At 44.8% G+C, this 22,790-nt stretch overlaps 1 protein-coding gene across 22 annotated transcripts in view; it reads left to right on the top strand.

Annotated features, from left to right (window-relative positions):
* The window catches only part of LARGE1 (LARGE xylosyl- and glucuronyltransferase 1), an 856,162-nt gene that overhangs the window by 148,165 nt on the left and 685,207 nt on the right, over nucleotides 1–22,790 (top strand). For 20 of the 22 annotated variants that reach the window (XR_007067993.1, XR_002958722.2, XR_007067994.1 and 17 more), the window contains one exon: nucleotides 13,102–13,289. Coding sequence is in view for 19 of the 22 variants with exons in the window: in XM_024452302.2 (XP_024308070.1) it covers nucleotides 13,184–13,289 (106 nt within the window). In the remaining 3 variants the exon portion in view is untranslated. Of the gene's footprint in view, nucleotides 1–8,706; nucleotides 8,817–13,101; nucleotides 13,290–22,790 lie in introns of all 22 variants that reach the window. The other 2 variants (XM_047441600.1, XM_047441601.1) reach the window with 1 other exon arrangement.

Below are 22,790 nucleotides of genomic sequence, written 5' to 3'. Positions count from 1 at the left end.
CTGGCTGGGCATAGTGGCTGACACCTGTAATCCCAGCACTTTGGGAGGCCAAGGGGGACGGATCACCTGAGGTCAGGAGTTCGAGACCAGCCTGGCCAACATGGTGAAACCCCCATCTCTACTAAAAATACAAAAATTAGCTGGGTGTGGTGGCACGTGCCTGTAATCCCAGCTACTCGGGAGGCTGAGTCAGGAGAATTGCTTCAACCCGGGAGGTGGGGCTTTCAGTGAACCGAGATCGTGCCACTGCACTCCAGCCTGGGCCACAGAGCAAGACTCCGTCTCAAAAAAAGAAAGAAAGAAAGAAAAAAAAAGATTAACGTCTCCTATTTTTTTTAACCCTTTTTTTAAGTCAACTGTGGAGAATAAGGTAAGTTTTGTAAGAGTGGCCATTGTCTTATCCAAGGAAGCCTATTGATTCTTCATGAGAGAATCATTTTCTGGTGCTAAATTTTGAGACATAATTTGTTTCATAGGGGTAGTCTCTTTTGAAAAATGGATATGGTCCCTTCAAGAAGAGCAGTAGCATATTGAATAATGTGTTTGGAGGAGTTTTTTTCCATCCGCCCCTCCACCCCCACCCCACCCTTCTGGTAGATGTAAGAGTATTCTTTCCTTTTTCAATAGTTCTTCCTTTTCCAAGATACACAGCCTTGAGGCAGAATCAGAGCACATCTTCCCCACCTCACACATGATTTGTGGTTATCAAAGCAAACAAACAGTAGTGTCTGTACTGTCCTTAGATTTTGATTGGTCGAACAGCTATAGTCAATCAATTTATTTTAGTCCTATTAATACTACATAGCATCTCATATTGTTGTTTGATAATCGTATTTTGGATTTCATTTGATCTCTTGCAATCCTTGCAACAACCACGAGTGCCTGATATTGCCATGGGCTTTCCCAGAAAAATGACGGGAGGCTCCAGGATAACAAATCAGTTGCCAGGCTCCTGCAGCTTGTATCTGCAGAGCTGATGCTTGAGGCCAGGTTTCCTGACTCCCAGAGCTTTGTAAATGCTGTGAGGCCCATGTGAAATGCAGACTGTGCCTTGGAGTTTGCTTGTTATATAACAGAGACAAGATGGGCACAATTCGGGTGACAACTAATGTGTCTTGACTGCAGAGCTGTATGAAAATGGGTGGTTGAGGACTGTGTTGGATGCCTCAGGGGGCCACTGCCCCGATCTGTGACACCACAGTGGTTCTGAAGGCAAATGTACATGTTTCTCTGCAGCCAGAGAATTTGACTTCGCAGCAGGATCAAGACAAACTGAGTTGGCAGGAGTGGACCCTTGTGGTCCTTTCAACATAGTGAACTCGAAATTTTCAATGTTTGTTTGAGAGCATATTGCGTGCGGCTTTTAAATTAGAGTTCACATGATGAATCTTTAATAGTGCCTCCAAGGCCAAGTGCCATTAGGAAGTGCCAGTTTGACAGGCCAGAGGATCACCTTCAGGGAGGAAATTCCACAGAGATGCTCGCGTGGCCCCAGACCCGGAGGGAGGCACCAGTTGCTTCCTGTGTGGTCATTCCCATGGAGCAGGGAGAAGGAGAGAAAGTTACCAAAGTGAACTTTGCAAATGACCTCACGTGCACGAGAGGGTGTCTGAGGGGCAGTACCCCATTGCCTCAGGGACCTGTGTGGGATGCTGTGTGGATTCCATTTCTCATGTTACAGATGTTGTACAGTCAGACAGCTAGTTGCTGGACCTTTGTTTTAAAAGGGTTTATTGGAGCAGTATGAGAGTGACTGCAGGCCGCCTGATGATGGCACATTCGTTCATTCATTCATTCATTCATTCATTCATTCAGCAGATACTCACTGAATGCTTCCCATGCGTCTGGATATACCTTGAATATAAAGTAGTCATGGTTTATGCCCAAGTAGAGATTAAAATCTAGTGGGCGCAGCAGCGATTAAGCAAGTAATCAATCAAATAATTGTTTAATTTAGAAATTTGATGAGTACTATGAAGAAAATGACCGCAGCACGGTGATAGACAAAGTTGGGGAGGGGGCTACTGAGGCATAGGATTGTCTGGGAAGAGTTCTCTGAGTTGACAGCATTCAAGATCCAGTCTAGAGGGATAAGGATGCAGTCCAGCAAAGAGCCCAACATAAGCATTTCAGGCACAGGGAGCACACTTGCAAAGACCCTGAGGCATGTTCCAGAAGTGAAGGGGTCAGTGTGGCTGGAGTAGAGCAGAGAGAGTGGCCAGAGACAAGGTCGGAGAGATCGAGGTCAAGTCAGGTGCTTCTAGGTGGAGCAAAGAGTTTGGATTTAAGAGTTGATGAGAGACACTGAGTAATCTCCTTTTTTTTTTGAGGCAGAGTCTCGCTCTGTTGCCCAGGCTGGAGTGTAGTGGCGTGATCTCGGCTCACTACAGGCTCTGCCTCCTGCGTTCACACCATTCTCCTGCCTCAGCTTCCCGAGTAGCTGGGACTACAGGTGCCCGCCACCACACCTGGCTAATTTTTTGTATTTTTAGTAGAGACGGGGTTTCACTGTGTTAGCCAGGATGATATCGGTCTCCCGACCTCGTGATCCACCTGCCTTGGCCTCCCAAAGTGCTGGGATTACAGGTGTGAGCCGCCGCGCCTGGCCAACACTGAGTAATTTCAAGTGGAGTTTGAATGAGGCTGCTAATGCAGAAGCCACGGGCATGGGGCGATGGTAGCTTCGATTCGTATAGTGGCAGGAGAAATGGAGAGAGGACGATGTATGCGAGGCATGGAATAGCAGAAATTTGCCTGAATTGGAGATTGCGTGGATTGCCCAAGATGAGCTGTTTGAGTGAGGAACTGAGAATGGCTCCCATAATATGTGGCTTGAGCAATGGAGTAAATGATGTTGCCCTTTCTGGAGCAGGTTTGGAGGAGGAAATCAGGAGTTGAGGTCTGAGATGCATGTGGGTTTATCCAGTGGGTATATAGGAAGAAGGTCATTGTACACATGGACCTGGAGCTAAGAAGAGAGGCCAGAGCTACAGGGAGGAATATGGGAGTCATCAGCCGGGAGATTGTTTTGCAAGCTGTTGGCATGGGGGTTTTCACCTAGGGAGAGAAAGAAAGTGTGGATCCCACATTGAATCCTGGAATACCCCTAAAATTTATCATTCAGGAAGGAAGAGGTTTGAGAAAAAAAATGTATGAAATAAGTATCTCAGAGGTTGGAGAAGTGAGTTTACTAGAGAAAGGCAGTAGCATTTCTGAGCAGTTGAGTGCCCATTTGAAATCAGAAATGATTAACTGAAACATATCTGCCAGCCTGAGAGTGTGATTTCCTACCCCATTTGGCTTCACACATAAAGCTGTGAAGAGCAAGGAGGGTTGCATTCATCTGAAGCGTTGGATTTTCCCAGGCTACTGCAGTCTGAAACAAAAAGGGCCAAGGGAGGGGCGAGTACTTACAGAAGGGGATTATAGTAACAAACCGTGGCAGCATCTACGCTGAACAAGAGAGAATACAAAAAAAAAAAAAAGCAAAAAAATAGACCTGGATAGAGAGTATGATAAAGAAGGGCAGTGGATTGGGGATCATGATGACAGTAAAGAATCTATGCAATTGTAGCCTTGGAGGGCTGGCAACGGGATTGTGGGAGATTGTGTGGGGGACTGTGGGGGATATTGACATTTTAAACCATGCAGGTTGTGCTGCTTTGGGTGATGACAAGGCCTAGAATGTGAACCTGGTTAATGTGAAGTGGCAGATATTTTGGATGGGCATTTTCATCATGGAAGTAAGTGGAGAGGAGGAAGAATGTGAGAATGGTCACGCGGAGATTACAGTTATCAAGAATGGGAGGAGTAAATGACCTCCCATTTGGATTATGGGCAGTTTCTTGGTGTGATGTGGGGGATTGTATGTACACACACATGCACACACATACACATAAAATTTTTTTTTAATCTGCAGTAGCAATATAGGATATTGCCTTTCACCTTTTTTGCTTTTTTATTTTCTATTTTTTAGAGATAGGGTCTCACTCTGTTGCCCAGGCTGGAGTGCAGTGGTGTGATTTTTAGTTCACTGCAGCCTCAAACCCTTTGCTCAAGTGATCATCCTCCCTCAGCCTCCGGAGTAGCTGTGACTACAGGCAGATGCCACCATGCCCAGCTAAAGTCTTTACATTTTTTTAGAGTTGGTAGGTCTCTCTATGTTGCCCAGGCTGGTCTTGAACTCCTGGCCTCAAGCAATTCTTCCCCCTTTGCCCTCCCAAATGTTGGGATTATAGGCATGAGCCACTGCACCTGGCATGTCTTTCACCTTTTAAGTTCAGGGAACAGTTTCTCCTGGCTACACATACGTTATCAGTGCAATGCTTTATGAAGCTTTAGAAATGAGCTGATGACTTTCATAAATAATGAAATATAAACATGACATTATTTTAGTATCTTCAAACAAATGATCTGAGGATGAGTTACACATTTTAATATCAACACTAACTTGTAATTTGTACATTTGCATTGGCTATACATGCAAAAAGATTATTAGCTACAATGAAATGGATTCCTTAATATCTATGACATTCTACCTTGCTAATGCTATAGAATAACTTGCACTTTAAAGTACATTTGCACACTTTGCATATTATGTTCTATGATTGCTTCTGGGTTTTCCATACAGATTATTTTTGTTGATATTAAATGGAAATCGTAGGGCTGAAATATGCTGTTCTTATGTGAAGTAAATTACTATAACCTGTTGGCCTAAAAAAAAGAATGAGAGCTGTGACCAGTAGTTGCCAAGGACAGGGAGGACGATAGTGAGCCACAGTGGAACAGGGGTCTTCATTAGAGAGAGTGGCAGGAGGATCCAGGAGAGACAGCTGGAAGCCAGAAGGACAGAGGCCCATTTCTTTTCCCTTAGTTGGGTACATGCTTTGCAAGAGGGTAACAGATCTTTCTTTTAGGGGAAGCAGTGATTTAGGGGACAGCTCCACTTTCACATAAAAGCAAGAGGCAGAATGACGTGAGAGGAAGGAGGTTGAACATAAAGAGGAGTTTTCTGATCTCATAGTGTAAGTTCCACAGCATTCCATAGATGGACTTGGAGGGGAAGGGTGGGCTGAGGGGTATCGTGTGATTGGAGTAGTTTGTATGATAATGAATATCCAGTGAGACTGCTGCCGTGATGGAGATAGTCATTGATCCATTCAATAAATATTTATTGATTAGCTTCTTGTCTATATGCTAGATACTGTGCTAGTAATGAACAAGGCAGCAGTGGGCAAAATGAACAAGTCCCTGCCCTTGTGACACTGATGGTCTGATAGGGGAGATAGACCGTAAAGGAAACAATACGAGAATTTGCGTGCCAGGATTTCCAACCACTAAGTCAGTGTCTTTAGCCTCTCTTAGTCTCAGTTTTCCATTTGGTAAGGTGGGTGTAATGAAGTGGGTGGTGCTGGTGCTCTTCAGTCAGTATTCACTTGTGGGGGAAGTTTTTGATGAAAAGTCGGGCACATCATCAGAGCCAACCCTAGTCCGTAGATGTTTTTGTTTAGTTAGAAAAAGGCACGTGTTGAGAAACTCTGCTTTCATCTCTTAGAAAGCTGTTGTAACAAATTTGCAATCAAGGAAGTCTAGGATGTGAACAGTTTGCCCTACTGCACTGGCGGATTCCTGCCCTGGTGAAGTGAGGAGCAGAGAGGAGAAGGGGTGGCCAGCTCTGTTTATTAACCAGTTATTTACTAGGTGCTTTAGTACAGGCTTCTCAAACATTCGTGTATATATGAATCACCTGAGATCTTGTTAAAATGCCAGTTCTGATTCAGTGGGGCTAGGGTGAGGCCTGAGATTCTGCATATCTGAAAAGATCAGCTGATGCTAATGGCTGTTGGTTCAAGGACCACCCTTTGAGTAGAGGTGGGTTGGTGTAAACATTCCTTGGTCTTAGATGCTGGTCTCAGGGAGAGGCTTAAAACTAACCCTGGAAGACCTAGATCCTTTGCCCAGAAGGGGTTTTAGTCGAATGAAGAGAGATCAAGTAATGCACAGGAAATGATTAGAAGATAATTAAGTGATTAGGAGTGTGCTGCTGACTCCTGTTGGTGTTGAGAAGCAAAAAGGGAGAGCCTCCGGGACTAGACTTGACAGAGAAGTCCTATAGAAGCAGTGAAGACTTGATTCTATTGAGGTCCCAGAGAGGAGGAAAGACATCTAGGATACAGTAGGCAGGGCGGGAGACTGTGTGTGTGTGTGTGTGTGTGTGTGTGTGAGCGCGCGCGTTGGATTGTGGCTTGGGTAAAGGTGTGCAGTAGGAAAATAATAATGACAGTAATATAAATAATGATAATAAAGCTAACATCTTTCAATGGTCCATCTGCCATAGGACTTGGTTTTTTTTTCTTTGGAGTGGGACGGAGTCTCGCTCTGTCGCCCAGGCGGCACAATCTCTGCTCACTGCAAGCTCCGCCTCCTGGGTTCACGCCATTCTCTTGCCTCAGCCTCCTGAGTAGCTGGGATTACAGACACCTGCCACCACGCCTGGCTAAGTTTTTGTATTTTTGGTTGGTATGGGGTTTCACTGTGTTAGCCAGGATGGTCTCAATCTCCTGACCTCATGATTCGCCTGCCTCGGCCTCCCAAAGTGTTGGGATTACAGGCGTCAGCCACCACGCCCGGCCTATAGGACCTGTTTTATAACAAAACCTCGGTGATGTCCAGCTCTTTCTCTTCAGGTGCTGGGACAGCACCTTGTAAGAAAGGTTCACTGAAGACGAGTGACAATGTGTGAGTGGCAGGATTCAGGCAATCTTCTAGTTAGAATCAGTGGTCCAAATCCTCCCACTGTTATATGCACCTAGGATCAGTTTGGGATCCTAAGCAATTCTGAAGGGTTTGAGCCATTTTGTTTCCCCATATATGTGTGTGTTTGTGTGTATGTGTGTGTATATATTTTTTTCTTAGATTTTTATTCCTTCTTCATGTGCAGTGTTTCTAGACAATCCACACATCCTGAACACCCATGAAAAATTATTTCTAACATCCATGATGCTAATTAAAAGACAGCCTCTGGTGCTGATGAGAGATAGCTGGCGCACACGCTTGGAATGTAGGCTTCTGACTGGAGTCTCTCAAATGGTAACTAGCCACCCCTGGAGGGTGTATTCCCAATTAGGACACGAGAGATGTTAACTCACTGCACTGAGCTTGTAAATTAAAGCTTATATATATAATATATATGTATATATATTAAAGCTTATATATATACATATATATACATGCATATATATGCATATATATTTTATACTGTCTGTGCTGAGGTATTTTGAATTGCAAGCAATATAATTAAGACATAGAGATCAAAACTTTTAAATAACATTTATTTATGAGATGGAGTCTTGCTCTGTCGCCCAGGCTGGAGTGCAGTGGCGAGATCTCAGCTGATTGTAACCTCCGCCTCCCCGGTTCAAGCAATTCTCCTGCCTCAGCCTCTCCAGTAGCTGGGATTACAGGCATGCACCACCACGTCCAGCTGATTTTTTTTATTTATATTTTTTAGTAGAGACAGGATTTCACCATATTGCCCAGGCTGGTCTTGAACGCCTGATGTCAGGTGATCCACCTGCCTCGGCCTCCCAAAGTGCTGAGATTACAGGTGTGAGCCACTGTGCCTGGCCAATTTTTAAATAACTTTTAAATTGTAAAAGCAATGCAGGCTCCTTGTATAAAATTTCAGGAAGTATATATATATATATATATATATATATATATATATATATATATATATATATATATGTATATGTTTAAATTAGTCATATTCTATACCAAAAGATAATTTACAACATTTAAGCCTTTTTTTCTTATATAGGTATATAGGTTATTTGTACACGTATATAAAATTTATTGCTTTGGACTGAAGGATACTTGTGATCACATTATATAATACATTTAGCTTTGAATCCTGTGTTTGTAGCTTAACAGATCAGCCAGGCATGGTGGCTCATGCTTGTAATCCCAGCACTTTGGGAGGCCGAGGCAGGTGGATCACCTGAGGTCAGGAGTTTGAGACCAGCCTGGCTAACATGGTGAAACCCTGTCTCTACTAAAAATACAAAAAATAGCTGGACGTGGTGCCTGGCACCTGTAATCCCAGCTATTCGGGAGGCTGAGGCAGGAGAATGCGTGAACCCGGGAGGCGGAGGTTGCAGTGAGCCAAGATCACGACATTGCACTCCAGCCTGTGCCACAAGAGAGAAACCGTGTCTCAAACAAAAACAAACAGATCATGGTGATTTTTTTGGGTTCATACAATGTTCTTCATAAATGTAAATTTCATTGGTTAAGACAGATGGGAGACGACAGATGGAGTACATGTTTAGGAGGAGGAGTTGACCAGCTTGGCCGAAGAGTTGGATCTTGGAGTTGAGGGAGAGGTGTTTAGGGATGACTCTTAGACACCTGGGTTAACAGGTGGGGAGGCCTCCCTCACACCAGGGAGCAGTAGGGAGACAGCAGATTAGAGGCTGGTTTTCCCAGTTAATTCGCCAACATTTGCACATGTTCGTGATGTAATTTCCAGCCCACCTCCTGTTTCTTCCTTCCGTTCTTCTTGTGTTGATTTCTGTGTTGACTTCCTGGAGTAACTTCTGATATAGATTGAGATTTTTCTTAAAAATGTGTTTTTAGTACACAGAGGTGTCATTTAAAAGTGAAATTCATGAAGGAATATTTTTTACCTGCTGGGTTTAATTTCAGATGCCTGTGTTATCATAAAAGGGGAACCACCATAGATTCTGTTTTAAAACTTTCTACAAATTGTATGTGTTGATATTAACTTCTGCAGATGGAGAGAGGAAAAGAGGAAAGTAAGTATCTTATTAAAGAGTTTTTTTCCCAGTGTTATTTGAATATTATTAATGCCAAATGAGTTCAGTTCCTATCCTCCTCCCTTCCTTTAAAAGTTTAAATTTGTCTATAACTTTTTTTTTTTTTTTTTTTTTTGTGAGATGGAGTTTTGCTCTTGTTGCCCAGGCTGGAGTGCAATGGCATGATCTTTGCTCACTGCAACCTCTGCCTCCCAGTTTCAAACGATTCTCCTGCCTCAGCCTCCCAAGTAGCTGGGATTACAGGCGCCCACCACCATGCCCAGCTAATTTTTTGTATTTTTAGTAGAGACCGGGTTTCACTATGTTGGCTAGGCGGGTTTTGAACTCCTGACCTCAGGTGATCCGCCCGCCTCAGCCTGCCAAAGTGCTGGGATTACAGGTGTGAGCCACTGCACCCAGCCCTTGTCTATAGCTTTTTAATGCCTTTCTATTGTACTTTTTTCTGGAATGAGAGTTAACAGTTATGATATATTTCACCCTGGGAAAGAAATAATCATAATATTCAATATGAAGGATTTAGGTTAAAGTAAAAGGAAAAACACCCTCTGGCAAGAGTTCTTAGGATCAATTGCTGAGGGAGAGCAGAGCCTGAGGTGTTTTTGCCTCTTACTAGTAGTGTATAATCCTTGGCCAGTTAATTAATCTCTCTAGGCCTTAATTTTCTCATCCGTACAGTGGGGACTGGAAATAGTGTTTATCTCGTAGGTTATTTTGAGAATTACATAAGCAGCTATATGCAAAAAAATATAGAAAAGTGCTTGACATATAAGTGCTACTTACTGCTAGTTGCCTTGACTTATTGCTGTAAGTAAACTGTGAAAACAAAAATTGTGATTTTAATGTTGTGATACAGTCAGCCCTTCATATCTGAGGGTTCCACATTCACAGATTCAACCAACTGTGATTGAAAGTCTTCAGGAAAAAAAACGGATGGTTGCAACTGTACTGAACACGTGCAGACTTTTTTGTCGTTCTCTAAACAATACGGTATAACTATTTATGTAGCATTCACATTGCCTTCGGTATTTTTTGGTTAAGTTTTTAAAAAATTTATTATTACCATTTTGAGATGGAGTCTTGCTGTGTTGCCCAGGCTGGAGTGCGGTGGCACAATCTTGCTCACTGTAACCTCCGCCTCCCGGGTTCCAGTGATTTTCCTGCCTCAGACTCCCAAGTAGCTGGGATTATAGGCACATGGCACCACACCCAGCTAATTCTTGTATTTTTAGTAGAGACAGGGTTTCGTCATGTTGGCCAGGCTGGTCTCAAACTCCTGACCTCAGGTGATCTGCCCACCTCGGCCTCCCAAAGTGCTGGGATTACAGGCATGAGCCACCTGTAATACCCGGCCTGCATTAGGTATTATAAGTAATCTAGAGATGATTTTGAGTAAAGTATATAGGAGGATAGGTGTAGGTTATATGCAAATACTATGCCCATTTGTATGAGGGACTTGAGCCATCTGTGGATTTTGGTATCTGTGGGGGGTCCTGAACCAGGCCCTCACAGATCCCTAGGGAGAACGGTAACTCTGGAAGGAGAATTGAGTAGGTGGATCCTTCAGGTTTAAATCACCTATCTGGCATATTGGGCAATACTTGTTTGTTGGAATCTGTTTTCTACCCAATCCTGTGGGGGAAATGTGGGAGTAGAGAGAGATGAAAACCTCATTAAGGGTCAGGTGCGGTGGCTCACGCCTGTAATCCCCGCACTTTGGGAGGCCGAGGTGGGTGGATCACAAGGTCGAGAGATTGAGACCATCTTGGCCAAGATGGTGAAACCCCATCTCTACTGAAAATACAAAAACTAGCTGGACGTGGTGGCGTGTGCCTGTAATCCCAGCTACTCGGGAGGCTGAGGCAGGAGAATCCCTTGAACATGGGAGGCGGAGGTTGCAGTGAGCTGAGATCACACCACTATACTCTAGCCTGGTGACAGAGTGAGTCTCTGTCTCAAAAAAAAAAAAAAAAAAAAAAAAAAAAAAGCAAACTAATTAAGGCTGCTTTTCTGCCCTCCAGGAAGGAAGGATTGCCCCTGAAATGTACTTAAAATATCTTTGGTAAGCACTTCATTAAAGGCTCTCTCATTTGAGCCTCAAAGCAACCCTCCAAGATAAAGGGTATCATCTTAATTTATAGATGAATAAGGAAGCTTATCCAGAGACAGGGGACTTGGTCAAGGTCACAGCCAGTCAAGTGCAGCATCTGGGCTTGAACCCACATCTCTCTAACTGCACAGCCCTCTTTTTCTGCACTTCCTGCTCCTAAGAGATTCACGGGACTTGGTGGTTCTTATTCTCTGTGACTGGTGGAATGTGTACGTAGGGTTTGTTTTCCATGCTTTAGACTGAACATTCCCTAGAGGGGACTTTTTTTCAAGTCAACATTCTCTGTTCAAAAGGATTTTGCTTTTTTCAGTTTTACTTTCTAGTCTACACCCTCTAGCCCCGTGGTCTTTCATCTGTTCCAAAAGAATTCCATTTAGAAAATCGTGTCAGATTGGTTGCAGAAGCAGGCTCAGCATTGACAGTTGTGATCGGCTCCATTAGGTGTTTATTATTGGCAACTCACTGAACATAAACTCCTGAAGCTTGAGAGGGTGGCCTTTGGATAGAATCTGATTCCATGTATTCATTTAACAGACAGTTATCAGGCACCTGCAGCTGACAGGCAATATGCTAAGTTTTAAAGAATGCAAGGTGGATCTGATGGGGTGGGTATCTGCCTTCTGGAAATGCTAAGGCTGGTGGGGAAAGGAGTCAGTCCAACCAGACCACCTTCATGGCGGTATAAGGGTTACCCAAGAGGGAAGGATGCATTTGGGAATATGGAAGGGGAGAACCAAGCCAGCTGTTTTATAGACATCTGTTCCTTGGGAATCTGAAGCTTTTTATAGCTGTGTGCAGTGGGTGAGTTCCGCTCTGTTAGGGAAGCACCATGTGGGTTTATCTTTCTTTCCACCTATAGTCAGCGTGACACCTATGTCAGGAGGTGGGTAGAGATGAGGTCTTAGGGTCCATTGGTTTTTTAACTCCTTTGTAGGTTTCATGATTCCCTGGTCAAATAATCAGGTGAAAGATCATGGGCCATCCACTTTGTCTGCACCAACCTGCTCCCTCTTCCGTTGACACATCACGGCCAGTCTTCTGCCGTGGTCTGAGGATATGCCCTCCCCAGGCTGTCCGTTTGTTCTTATCCCTTCTCTGCATGTTTTGATGGTTTCTGTGATTCTCTGGACCTCTTCTTCCATATTGAGGGTGGAAGCTATGAAGATAGTCCCTAGTGAGTGTGTTTAGGCTTTCAGTTGTGACTAGGGTACAGTCCCATGCACATGGAGGTGGTGGCCTCTCCCATCTCCTTGCCTTGGCATGTGCTCTTTAGTCGATACCATTGCCTTTCTCAGTCTCCTCTGCCCAGAATGCTGGAACTGTTCTGCCATCCTGACCACGCACAGGGCAGTCAGCACCTTTATCTGCCCTTCCAGAGTGGTCCATGCACATCTCAGCTTGGGGTTGTTATAGATCTTTTCTGTTGGTCTCTTTCATTAGACTACACTTTTTGAATCCATCCTCTGGTCTAGTCTTTTTTTTTTTTTTTTTTTTTTTTTTTTGAGATAGAATCTCGCTCTGTCTCCCTGGCTGGAGTGCAGTGGCGCCATCTCAGCTCACTGCAACCTCCGCCTCCCAGGTTCAAGTTATTCTCATGCCTCAGCCTCCCATGTAGCTGGGATTGCAGGCGTGCCACCATACCCTGCTAATTTTTGTGCTTTTAGTACAGACGGGGTTTCACCATGTTGGCCAGCTGGTCTTCAACTCCTGATCTCAAGTTATCCACTCGTCTCGGCCTCCCAAAATGCTGAGATTACAGGCGTGAGCCACTGCGCCCAGCCTATTCTAGTCTTCTTTTGAAACACAGCACGTGGTTCATACGTGGTACATAACAGGTGCTAACTAAATGCTCCTTTAAGTATGTTAGTTCAGGTCTCGAAGTTAACCTATACTATAAATTGTGCGTGTGTATGTGTGTGTGCGTGTTTGTGTGTGTGTGTGAGAGAGCGAGCTTACAGTTTTTGTTATTTACTTATTTATTTATTGTCTCAGTTTTGAAGACTGCGAGACGGCAGCATCATCTCTTGGGATGAAAGGTTAGCAGGAAGCCTAGATCAGTTGAACCCCTTTCAGGATCTATGAGATATTTCTCTTCCATAACTTACACCCATCTCCAGTGCTAAGAACTCAGGCCTTCCTCTTTGCTCTTCCTTTCAGAGAGTATTATGAGGGAGGCCGAGGACTTCATGCTCCGGACAGAGAAACGGCGCTGGGATTAGGGATTGCCACTTCTGAGAGGATGCTGGGAATCTGCAGGGGGAGACGGAAATTCTTGGCTGCCTCGTTGAGTCTTCTCTGCATCCCAGCCATCACCTGGATTTACCTGTTTTCTGGGAGCTTCGAAGGTAAGAATGGAAGCCAAAGTGAGAGGGAAGGAGGGAAGAAAGGGAACATTAGCTGTCATAGAACCCTAGAAAAGAAACTCAAAGCCATCTAATAGGAATATGTATTTCCAGTCATGGGAAGTGACTTGTCTAGAATCACACAGGTAGTTGGCAGCAGTCAACAGTGTGAGGAGAAAAAGGGAAAAACAAGCAAAATAAGGCATACCTTGATGTAGTGGGAGTGTGGTGGGTACAGAAATGTCAAATCAAGTCAATTACTTTGTCGATAATGGGAGAAAAGGTTGGGCCCTGGAGAAATTACTGAGCTATTCATGGAGCCATATGTTTCAAGAGTTGGTCCATCTTTTCATTCATTTATTCACCCATTCAACATCGTGGTGGTGGTGGTGGTGGTGGTGGTGTTTTTTGTTTGTTTGTCTGGTTTTTTTGTTTTGTTTTGGTTTGGTTTTTTTGAGACGGAGTCTCGCTCTGTTACCAGGCTGGAGTGCAGTGGCGCGATTGTGGCTCACTGCAACCCCTGCCTCCCGAGTTCAAGTGATTCTCCTGCCTCAACCTCCCAAGTAGCTAGGACTACAGGTGCCCGCCACCACACTCAGCTAATTCTTCTATTTTTCGTAGAGATGGGGTTTCACCATGTTGGCCAGGATGGTCTCCATCTCTTGACCTTGTGATCTGCCCACCTTGGCCTCCAAAAGTGCTGGGATTACAAGTGTGAGCCACTGCGCCTGGCTGTGTTGTTGTTATTATTGGATGCCTGCACTAAACTTGGTGCTGAGAATATGGAGATAACAGATCTGGAGATTCACAGGATAGCGGAGGAGACAGATAGGCTAAGAAATGATCGCGGCACGTTGCGATGCGCGTTGTGATGGAGGAAGGCAGGGTGCTGTGGGAGAGGTTTGTTGGAGCTGTCAGACCTGGGCTGGGGATGAAAGATGATCAGTTACATGAGGGGCCGAGCGCAGGGAGGCAACAAAGGATTTGCTCTCCCCAAACAAATAAAAACAAATGATGATCCCTGCTACTTTCCAGAAATCAGTGGGAACAGCAAGACTCACCATTTTTCTAGCCAGCCGTTTCAAATACAGTGCAATGTTTTGCCTGTGAAGATGGTTTTCTAGGCTTCAGAGAGAGAGGGAACGGCAGTGGTGAAGAGCTGACTTTATTTTTATTTACCCCCACACTTGAATTTCAGAAGGAAGATCTCAAATGAAAATCTGTCTCAAGGAAGTCACAACTGTGTTTTTAAACGTTTCCTTTATGCATAATTTTATTGGCAGCTCAAGGCTACCTTTTAATTAGGATCTCCACTTCACTTTCTGAGATTTGCCTTGAGTTAGCTAGACTGAATATAAACAAGGTGAAACTGTGTGCCTGTCTAGCAGGGAGGGCTCAGGATGCTCAGCCCAGTGCCGAGGCCAAGTGACACACCCCTGTCCCTGTTCCCACCCTTTAGGTGCATCCCTGGAACAGTCAGAACCTTCATCTAAGCAGGTAGATAGAGCCAATTATGCCATGGCAGTGGATGGGAAGTTTTTGGAAAAGGGACTAGAGAGAGGAAGGGGAGGTGATGTTGGTCTTGATGTAAGGAAACATTCTCCCAGAGATCATGGAAAAGCCCTTTTTATAAAAGAAGTTAGAGGTACCACCCGTGCTAGTATAGGTTTAATAAGTAGAACATTGACTTTTAACTAAGCTGGTAATAATAATAATGGTATAACAAGGACAGTGATGACAGACACTGTGATTCTGTCATCACAGTGATGACGACAGTACAAACAACTAGTATTTTGAGTATTTCTACAGGCCAGGTATTGTTATAAGGACTTCTACATATGTTTACTCTTTCTTCACAATGATTCTTTGTGCCAGGTGCGTTTAATACACCTGTTTTACAGATGGGGGGGATGAGGCAGATAAGCTTCAGTGATCTGCCCATGGTCCCAGAGGTGGTCAAGATGGAGCCTGGATTGGACTCAAGAGCTTGAGTTGTTAACTGTAATACCATGCTATAGATTGGGGCCTCAATGAGTGATTGAACTTTGGTCAGGGATTTGACAGGGTGTCACACAATCTGGGTGAGGAAAGTTGTAGAATTTTGATTTGCACTCTTTGGCAGAAAGCCAACCCAAATTGATTTTTGGTGAAAAGGGAATTTGATAGTTAATAGGATTTGTAAGTTCAGAGGTAGGGCAGGCTTCAGGCAGAGTTGGATCCAGGGGCTTGTAGCTAGGTCTCCCTCTATCCCTTTGTTCTATTTTTCTCTGCCTTGGTTTTTCTCAGGGTGACTTTATCTACATAGAGGAAGTTTCAGGCTTGCATCCTGTCCTCACCAACCCCAGTAGAAAGAGGATTTTTTCCTTTTGCTAATTCACTAATATTGCCTCTGATTGAATTGCCTGTGGTAACTCCTCCTGAAACCAGTCACTGCGGTTATGGGAGGGGAGTGAGGGAGGCTGGTACTTTTTTGTTAACTTTAAGCCCTGTGCCTATTTCTGGTCACAGGATGATGGAGAGTTGCTTAAAACACGCTGGGTGAGATTGGGTGACTGGGATGGCCACCAAAGGCAAATGGCATGGTTTCCCAAAAGGAAGAGATTAGAAGTTGATCTGGATTATGGAGAATTCATAACTGTCTGTGTTTATGGTTAGATGTGTTGATGGTCAATTTGAAGGCAGCTTAGAACCATCGTGGCCGGTGGAGTGAATGTGATCACTAACTTTGAGCAATTTCACCAGACTGGCAGATAGATTATGGGAAACTGGAAAGATCATGAAAATACTTTGAGGCAACATGACAGACTGGGTGTAGGTGCTGTATCTATCAACATGATCCTTTAGAATGAACCCCACACTTGGGACCAAATCACGAGCTGCATTTAGTAGGGGCTGGGTGATGTGGGCATGTTAACACAGTATTTTAGCTAGGATGACAGAGGCAACAGATTTCTGTTACTGAGTGTCAGTTAGTGTGCATTCGGGCTGCCGCATTTGTATTTGTGGACTCTATGCTGTAAGGACAATCTAGATGAGGCAGCATGCTTAGGAAAATCCAGGTGAGTGACAGTGCCCGTTCAAATCTGGTTATGTAAGAAATGGTGGGAAGAATTGAGGATGTTTACCTTGGAGAAGCAGAGGCTCAGGGTGTACATGCTCAGCTTCAGCAAACAGACAAAGGGCTGTCCCCTGAAAGAAAGATTGGGATTGCTCTGGTGGCCCCAAACCTATGGAGGGACGTGGCAAGGAGCCAGATGTCAAGCTCCTCATAATGAGGATCATGCTGACCAGAGCTGGAATGAGCTGCCCAGGAGGTGGTGAAATACCTGGCATGAAAGATGCAGAAACACAAGTCCAGTATCGTGGGAGGGAGCTGAGCGAGACAGGCAGTTACGCAAGGTGACCCATCTGACCCTGCCTGACCCAGAGATCCTGAGGCTCTGGGAAAGTCTGAGTATTTATCAGAACACAAAGGCAATGCCTCCATGAAGCTCCCTGCTGGTTGCTACAGACAACAGTGCATTTCCCAAAGGGCCCGCAGAGACGTTATTTTCTTTGTAATTAAACATCACAACAACGTTACAATCCATTTATTGACACCCTTGAGTTTTTGGTTTCGTGGCAGGTGAAGCCATAAATAAGGGGCAGAGTTGCTGCCTGTATTCATGGAAATACTATTCATACTTTATGTGGGTTTATTTATTTTTTGACTCTGTTTAATATCAATGGACCTCCTGAGAGCAGAGCCAAGAACTCCCTCTGAGATGTGGCTGCTCTCAGCATAGGGTTTTGGAGTTGGATTACACGCCGCAGCATGATATATTGAGAGAGCCCTGGAGGGGGTCAGCTGTCTCAGGATCTCAAATCACCTCAGCCAGAGGAGCTGGATGATCTGGGGCACACTTGCTCTTCATGGTAGGCCTTCGTTTCTTCCGACGTGAAATGAAGTTGTCGAGTGCACTTAGCAGGGTGCCGACATTCTACCTACAAGCTTCTGATTCTAACGTCTGATGTAAGTGAACTGAAAATGACCAGAATCTTCCCCGATTAAGGGGAATTATGACACTAAGAGGGAGTCGGCTTAGGCTTACTGTGATTTGCTCCTGAGCATGGAAGCAGGATCAATGCATAAATGTTATGGGGAGGCAGGCATTGTCTCCCTGTAAGAAAGAACACCTGTTTCAGCGACTCAGTTGTCAGGCATGGAGTTCACCATCTGGGAAAGAGATGAGATTCCCATTCCTTGAGACACCTTTTGAAGGCCCAGTGACCTCTGGTGAAGGACGCTCATCAGGTGGTGTTTTTGTTAGTGCGTTAACCCCTTAGTTCTTAAACCCAACTCCTTGCTTTATTTCTTTCCCAGTCCACCTTTCTTTCTCTAACATCTCAGTCAGCATTCCCAGCTCTACGCCGTTCAGGCCCTAAACTTGGGAGTAATCCTTGTCTCCCTTCATTCACTCCGTGTCTCGGTTGCCACCTCCTGTTGAGTCTAAGCTCGGCCTTGTAGCTGCGTCAGTTGTTTCCCATCTTTCACCACTGCTGTCGCCCTGGCTCTGCCACTCCTCCTTTGTGATCAGGACTAAGCACAACAGCCCACTTTCTTGCAGGTCTGCTTCGTTCTTCAGACTCCTCAGGGCTGAATCAGAGCACCGCTCTGCTCCTTGTCAGCCCCTCTGGCCCATCCCCTAATCCCCACCATACTGCCTCGCATTATCTGGCATCCTCTACCCAGCCACGCCAGATTCTTTTAAGTCCTGGTGTACATCGCCCTCTGTGGGCTCTGCTCTTCCCACCTGTTCTTTCTTCTCCCTGACACCCTCTATTGCTCTTACTTCCTTCCTCTTCTTTGTCTGGCTGCCTAGATCCTTGGGTCTCAGCTGAAACACAATTAATTGCTCCTGACCCTTAACTAGCAGGCTTCCTTGGCTCCCTATTTACCTAACTCCTTGTATGTACCCTTAATACTCAGGGCTCTTTATTTTTCTTGTTTTTATAATCTTTTGTTTTCACAGCAGATTTACAAGCTTTGGGAATGGAGAAAGCGGGTCTCTTTAGCTCGCCCTTCCACCTCTAGCACCTACTGTAGTGCCGGGAGAAGATTTGGTCCCCAAATGTTTGTTCAATGAATGAGTGAACGAACACATGTGCCCTCCTCCGACTTTGAGTACTGACAGGTCTCATCATTGCCTCCTGGATCCACTGTGGACTCCTTACCATGACTCTGGGGTCTTCCACAATTGTTTTTTCCCCAACCTATACTGTCTGTCTTCAGGGTATAATACCCTGTTGAACTACCTGAGGAAACTATTTCTCTGATTCTTAATTTTCACTCTTGCGGTCTTACTGCCCACTATTCAGTTCTTTTTTCTGTAACCCTCCCTCCCAGCCAACACCTTCAATGCCCATATTCAATGTCATTTTCCCCTAATGCCAGATCCCATGTGGAAACATCTATGACCAGCAGTCATCAAGAGATATTTTGCTTGTTTGATGTCTTTCTAACCACTTACCTATGAGTTTCTTGAGAGAAGGAAGTGTTTTATTCGTCGTTACACTCCCAGTGTCTAACTGAGCACTCGCTCCTAATGTGTCCTTAGTGAATGTTCCCTGGGTAGGACTGTGGTATTGAGGGACACAGGAACCGCTGGTAGGGAAGGGCTCTTGGTGCTGTGAGCATCTGTGATTTTTGAGACCTGAGGACGTGGCTCCTTTCATTTGGTCGTGATGTTAATTCCGGGACTGGAGTGAATCTGCTCAACTATAGCCCCATTTGAATTTAGAGCATACCTGTTATTTTCTATCAGAATCACCTTTTCTCAGAGCCCAGTGGGTTTTATTGTGGGATGTGGTTCTTCTTTTCTGTCCATCAAGGAGATGTGTTCGGCTATTAGAGACTTATCAGCATGTGGAAAAAGGGTGCTTTTCAGCCGTTCAGAAAACTCTTCACACATGCTGCCCTCTGATAATTCATAACCAGCTCGGTGCAAAGGTTTCCCATTGTCAGGGAGGCAGTCCGGGACAATGTGGGTGTTATTTAAAAGCAAATGTCTTCAGAGGATGTGAAGTCCTGAACACTTAAAACCAGTGTCATGAAAAGGCAGAGGATCTTCACTTCTGAACTGATATCAGCCTGCACCCCTGTTTTGTCATTCCTAAAGCCTGAGTTCCCTGTTGCTTCCATTTTTATCAACATGAACCCCCTCTGAAATGAATGTTTTTGAGTGTTGTCACAGTAAATTTCAACAGAAAAAAATACGGTTCCGATACTGGGCTATTTTGAAGACTGGCAGTGAGAGTGAAAGAATTGTAAGTTAAAGCTTTTTCTTTGCCTTATTATTATGGGGGAATCCCAGGGCACTTGTGTGGTGGAATAGGCGGGATGGGGGTGGTGCATTTTATCCAAGGAGGGTTTGTCCAGACATGACTGATTCCCCAGCCCTGTGTCTGCTCCCCCATCCCTCAGCCCCTCATCCCAGAGAGTGTGCTGGAAGGTCTGGGAAGTCAGATTGTACATGGTATTGGTGAATAATCTGCTGGAGCTTTCAGTATCCCCCAAGTCTAGGCTATGCAGCAGCTTTAGCAGGAAAGCCTATTTTTGCTGTCCTGCCAGTGGTCCAAATGTATCATTTAGTAAGGATATTATGGAGTATAAGAACATAGGATGCCGAATGCAAAATGAAATGGGACTTATAATACAAAAGTTGTGTTTTTAAAAAATTGGATCAAAAATGAAGAGCTGGCCGGGCACGGTGGCTCACGCCTGTAATCCCAGCACTTTGGGAGGCTGAGGCGGGCAGATCACAAGGTCAGGAGATCGAAACCATCCTGGCGAATACGGTGAAACCCCGTCTCTACTAAAAATACAAAAAAATTAGCCGGGCGTGGTGGTGGGCGCCTGTAGTCCCAGCTACTTGGGAGGCTGGGGCAGGTGAATGGCATGAACCTGGGGGGCGGAGCTTGCAGTGAGCCGAGATGGCGCCCTGCACTCCAGCCTGCGTGACAGAGCAAGACTCCGTCTCAAAAAAAAAAAAAAGAACTTTTTCAGCCAATGTTTAATAAGTGTTAGTGCTGAGCTTGAGCAAAATCTTGCAACAAATGAAAATGTGAGCATGCAAGTGGGCTGCTCTGAATAGTGCCCAGGTGACACATGCATCCCAAAGAATGCCCAGTGCATGTGTCTGTAGTTCTTACCTTGGGACTGTTAAGAGTCTCTTTAAGGTCTTGGCATCTGAGAGGGCAGTAAAGTCTATCCCAATTATTTGCTTGTGAGATGGTTACAAAGATGACCTCTACTTTCCTTTTACTTTTTTTTAAGATGGAGTCTTGCTCTATTGCCCAGGATGGAGTGCAGTGGCGCAATCTCAGCTCATTGCAACCTCCGCCTCCCAGGTTCAAGCAATTCTCCTGTCTCAGCCTCCTGAGTAGCTGGGATTACAGGTGCCCACCCCCATGCCCAGTTATTTTTTTTGTTTTTTTAGTAAAGATAGGGTTTCACCATGTTGGCCAGGCTGGTCTTGAACTCCTGACCTCAGGTGACCCGCCCACCTTGGCCTCCCAAAGTACTGGGATTACAGGTATGAGCCACTGCACCTGACCTGACCTCTACTTTTCTTATACGTAGCCTTTGGTCTTAAAATAATATTGGCTATCCTGCTAGGGTGGAACAAATAATCCTGCTGCATCCATTGGCTGCATCTCCTTTAAGAGGTCATGGCAAGAGGCCTGGACCAGGAATCAAGAAATGTGGTTGCCGTGAGTCCCAACATGCAACTTGTATGAGTTTCCTGTGGCTGCTGTAACAAACCACCACAAACTTAGTGGCTTAAAAAAAAACCATACATTTATTATCTTACAGTTCCAGAGGTCAGAAGCTCAAAATCATTCTCACTGGGCTAAAGTCAAGGTGTTGGCAAGGCTGGTTCCTTCTGTAGGCTCCAGTAAAGAATCCATCTCCTGGTCTTTTTAAGCTTCTTGAGGCTGCCCGCTTTCCTTGGCTTGTGACGCCTTCCTCCATCCCCAAGGCCAGCAGTGTGGCATCTTCAAATCTTTCTCTCTGATGCTAACCTCTACTTCTGTTGTTATATCTCCTTCTCTGACTGTGACTCTCCTACCCCCCTCTTATTAGGACTATTATTATTATTATTACTATTTTTTTGTGATGGAGTCTTGCTCTATCACCAGGCTAGAGTGCAGTGGTGTGATCTCAGTTCACTGCAACCTCCGACTCCCTGGTTCAAGTGATTCTCCTGCCTCAGCCTCCTGAGTAGCTGGGATTACAGGCACGTGCCACCACGCCCAGGTAATTTTTGTATTTTTTGTAAAGACAGGTTTTCATCATGTTGGCCAGGATGGTCTCAATCTCCTGACCTCGTGATCCACCCGCCTTGGCCTCCCAAAGTACTGGGATTACAGGCGTGAGCTGCCCCACCTGGCCAGACCCTTGTAATTATATTGAGCCTACCCAGAAAATCCAAGATAACAACCCTGTCTGAAAATCCTTAATTTAATGGTACTGGCGAAGCCCTGTTGGCCATGGAAGATGACATATTCATTGGCCATGGGGATTAGGATGTGGACATCTTTTGGGGGGTCATTTTTCCGCCTTCCATACCACTTTCCCACAGTCCCATGCTCCCACATTCTCTCCATCCTCTTCTTGTCCTTTATGGACAGAGCAGAGATGGTGTGCCATGCACTTTTCATATGGACATCTCATCCTTCCCTTGGAGTTTTGGGTTCTTGCATTTGAATTTGACATATATGTATCCAACATTTCATTTACAGCTCATGAGAAAGGCACTGTATTTAGATGTATTGGTCTGAATTGTCTGAATGATTTAAGACCATAATACTTCATCTATGATAGGTGTTTAATCAGTAACTGATGATGCGTTAAGGTTTTCTGAAAAGATAAGTTCAGAATGTCTGCTCTTTGTTGCAGGTTTCCTGGTTTTAAGTCAATTTTATTTTATTTTTTGATTTTGGATACCAATTTAACAAAAGGAGGGAGGATTTTATTCAGAGGGTCCTTTTGATGTTTGAATAGGTCTCTTAATTTTAAGTAAAAGATAGCCATTTATATAACTACTTTGGAAAACTTACCCAAAGTATTACCAAGCAAAGCCAAGCATACCCCATGATCCCTTAGCTCTACCCCTAGCAATACACCCAAGAGAAATGCATGTAGGTGGAAACAAAAGACTAGTACTAGAGTGCTCACATCAGCGTTATTTATAATAGCACCAGACAGGAAACTATGAAATGTTCATGAACACTAAAATGAGAATAGTGGGGCTGGGTGTGGTGGCTCACGCCTGTAATCCCAGCACTTTGGGAGGCCAAGGCAGGCAGATTACTTGAGGCCAGGAGCTCAAGACCAGCCTGGCCAATGTGGCGAACCCCCATCTCTACTAAAAATACAAAATAGCTGGGCTTGGTAGTAATTAGGTAGTAATTAGCATGCTTGTAGCCCCACCTACTAGGGAGGCTGAGGTAGGAGGATCG

Source organism: Homo sapiens, chromosome 22 (assembly GCF_000001405.40).
Source record: "Homo sapiens chromosome 22, GRCh38.p14 Primary Assembly".
In the NCBI taxonomy this organism is placed as follows: Eukaryota; Metazoa; Chordata; class Mammalia; order Primates; family Hominidae; genus Homo; species Homo sapiens.
Note: the sequence above shows the minus strand (reverse complement) of the source record. Positions and strands in the feature narration are given on the sequence as shown.